The sequence below is a fragment of the Homo sapiens genome, chromosome 3 (assembly GCF_000001405.40).
Source record: "Homo sapiens chromosome 3, GRCh38.p14 Primary Assembly".
Classification (NCBI taxonomy): Eukaryota; Metazoa; Chordata; class Mammalia; order Primates; family Hominidae; genus Homo; species Homo sapiens.
The window spans coordinates 182024555-182027920 of record NC_000003.12 but is presented as its reverse complement, the minus strand read 5'-3'; the positions used below and the strand labels follow the sequence as shown (position 1 = coordinate 182027920).

General features: G+C 37.6%; 1 long non-coding RNA gene across 2 annotated transcripts; it reads left to right on the top strand.

Moving 5' to 3' along the window:
• Positions 1 to 212: 212 nt before the first annotated feature.
• On the top strand, positions 213 to 2191 carry LOC105374242 (uncharacterized). 2 transcript variants are annotated; one of them, XR_924755.2, is made up of 3 exons: positions 213 to 275; positions 791 to 883; positions 1969 to 2191. It is a non-coding gene; the product is annotated as an uncharacterized LOC105374242 (long non-coding RNA). The 2 variants fall into 2 exon arrangements; XR_924754.3 differs by having other exon boundaries at positions 245 to 322.
• The last annotated feature ends 1175 nt before the right edge of the window (positions 2192 to 3366 follow it).

Sequence of the window (3366 nt, the reverse complement as noted above, 5' to 3'; positions counted from 1 at the left end):
AAAGGCTTTATTAATTCAAAGTATTATTGTAAGAATAATCATCATTGATTTGACTATTTGCCTCACTTCTTGTTCAGCTGCAGGTCTCCAATGTTATTAAAACATGAAGTTAATGCACAGAAAAATATATTATTTTCTACAAAATCAGTATCCAAGGGGGAAAAAACATCCATGTGACCTAGGAAACAGAACCTTAAGAAGCGTTTTATTGTTAAAGTTCCAGCCTGGCTTTTCTATCTGAATCTTTCAAAAATGTTTTTGGCACTATGGTTTTGGTAAGATCCAGGTTAACTGAAGCTTGTCAGAATTGCTTTCTTCAGAAGTAAGCAGTTAGATCAGGAAATAAACCACAAAAATTCCTTAATTGCTAGTCATCTAAGCAAGGTCTTACACTTTGGCTGAAAAAAAATACACCAAAGGAAAGAAATACCTAGCAATCTTTTTCTGAGTATTTTTTTTTCACATGAGCTAAGAAAAACAGCATAGCCTTAGTCAAAAGAATAGAGAGGAGATAGCTCTTCAAACCTTTCTTTCTAGGTAGAATTAGCCATTTAAGCTTTGTCCACATTAGCACTAAGCTAGCAAGTCTGGAGTGTCTTCCCTAACATTACTTTGTCAATGTGTTTATTTAATATTAATCCTGTGTGTTTGAGAAATTGGTCTGAACTGAACTATATAAGAATTGCCTTCAAAAAGACTAAACCATGTACTAGTAGTAACTTAAACTATTATGGTAACTTATTTAGTATTCCTTTAAGGTTTATAATGAATCCATACTTCCCATTTACAGAATGTCAACATATCATTAGACAGTTGACCACGGACCATAGCTCACGTGCTCTAGGTATGGACATAGCTTGTCTAATCTCCAATCGTTGGCAGGGTAAGTGTTTCAGACAAGTTTAAATAAGTAGTTTGTGTTTAATGGCTTCATGGTTCAGACACAATTGATCAACAGAATCATTTGATTGGCAAATAGAAACTAAAAGTGACAATAATAAAGTTACTAGTTATTAGTTATAATAAGCCACTACCATTCTAAGAAGGTAAAAAATATATACATTCTGCTTCTCACAACCATTCTGCAAAGTAAATTTTATTAAATCTATGTTACAGAAGAGGAAACTGAGGATTGGAGAGGTTAAGGGACTTTTCAAAGTATTAGAGTTTGAATTAGAATAACCCTACACAGCAGGAATAATTAGCTATCTTTTCTGGTAAAGTCACCATACAAAATTCAACTTGCCATTGACTTCTCTGTTTGTCAGGGCTTGTTTCTTTGTTTTACTTTCAAAAAGTGTATAATAATGTGCATTTAGATTTAGATGCATAGAAATATTAGCATAGTAATACAATATTAGCATAGAATTTGAAATTATCATAGAATTTCAAGTGTAACTCTCACGGAATTATTGATGAATCTGAGACTTTCTGAAGATAAAATCTTCCGGATAAAACCTAGTTATTGAATACATGACTGTAAATGAGTTACAGAGGAGACAACCACGTCCCCTTGCTAGCTCCAGGGCTTCCCAGCCACTAAGGTGAAGTTTGAGTGGCTCAAGAAGCTCATGGGAATCCTCTGGCCTGTACACCTGCTTCTCTGAGATGGAGCATGCCACCTGGCCACAGATATTCTTAGATAGTAGTTGGTGACTGGGTATAGGATATGATTTCTAAGCCTATGATGCATTAATTCTGCGGTTTGTGCATAATCGTCCTGCTTAGAGTGTGGTCCAAGGTTTTGGTAGCATTAGAGACAGTCAAGGCCTTGACTTTCTTCTCCAGTTAAGGTTGGCTGCTGGAGGATAACAATACTAGGAGGCTTGCAAAGCCCTTATTTTAAGGCATTATCTTCTCCAACTTAGTATTAACTGCTCTAACACAGCAGGAATGGACAGGGATACTTTTGAAGGGTTAGGATATCAGCATCTTTCAGCTGCTTTCCTATTTCCTCAAATTCCTTAGGAATGGAGCATTTGCCCTTCTGTATGACCACAGCTACTCTCACTTGGAGGATCATCAATAGACAAGGGTCAACCAGCTCCAGAGGAAGCCTCTTCTACAGCTCAGAGAACCTATTCCTTTAAGTTTCCTCACCTCTGTTCCAATGCCAGACAAGACTTTTACTGCAAACACTTCAGTATCATTTCTAATAAAGATAGCTTCCTAGCTGAATATCTCCAACATACATACAATCTGTTGTATTTCAATGCCCTTCTTCAAAGGGCACTTGGTGTTTGAGCTCTAGTATATTCAAGTGAAATATGTCTGGGAAAAACCATTGTATAAATAAATATTAAGCAAATTTTTAACAGAGAGGCCCATGGAAGATGACTTTATTTTCTAAAACTTTTCAATCAAGTTAATGGAAAAATTGAAACCTCCAAGCCCTCTGTGTCATGGTAATTTACACTGTTACAGGATTGTAGCATGTCTGAAATATGAGGAATCTCAGCAGTCCTGAAGTTCATCAGCTTGGACACCAGACCCACAGAGGCCCAGTTGTCCATCTCTGCCCCACTCTCAGGGTAGGGCAAAAGGCAGAGTACTCTGAGGCCTCAGCAGGATCCTCCACCCTGCTTTTATTTCCTTTATATATTGGGATTCTGCATTGGGTTGATTGACTTAAAGGGCTTTTGCTGCCTAAGAAAAAGACTTAGAAATATTTGATTTTTTACTGATGATCAGTGTGACACCCTAATTTTACAAATGCAGCCACTGGGTAATAGGAAGAAGAGGTGACTTGCTCCAAAGTCTCCCCACTAATAAATGACAAATGATTTTTACTTCATATATTGCTCCATCTACCTGACAATGTGATCAATTCTGCCAACAAGTCACCTTTCTGAGTATCTCAGCCTTAAGCTGCCTTCAGCTTCATGGAAATCACAGGCTATGTTCCATATTTTGATATGAAGCTTAAAGGCACAAGAGCATCCCAAGGGCAACCTCCTCCTATTTTGAGGTTTGCGGTATTAAAATTAATCAAAAGTAAATGCTCCCAGACATAGAAAGTTCTTCTAATATACTTTTCGAGGAATGCATATTGAGCCACTCAACCTTACTGACAAAAGAGAAAAGTGCGCCTTCTTATGTGCCCTGGCTTTTTGCTTGACAGGTGGATCACAGTGACAATATTTGCAAGGGAATCTTTTGATAAATGGATGCCTGGCCTCTCATATCACAGAATTTGCTTTGAAAGGACAAAAACCTTACAGAGAGAGCATAGTCCTTGACAAACTGGGCCCCATAGACCTTTATCTCCAAACTGTCAAATCAACCCAAATAAACTCTTTGCTGGCCCCAGAACAGTCTTTGTTTATGCCACTTCCTTCTGATCATGTGTGAATCTTCAAGGTTCAA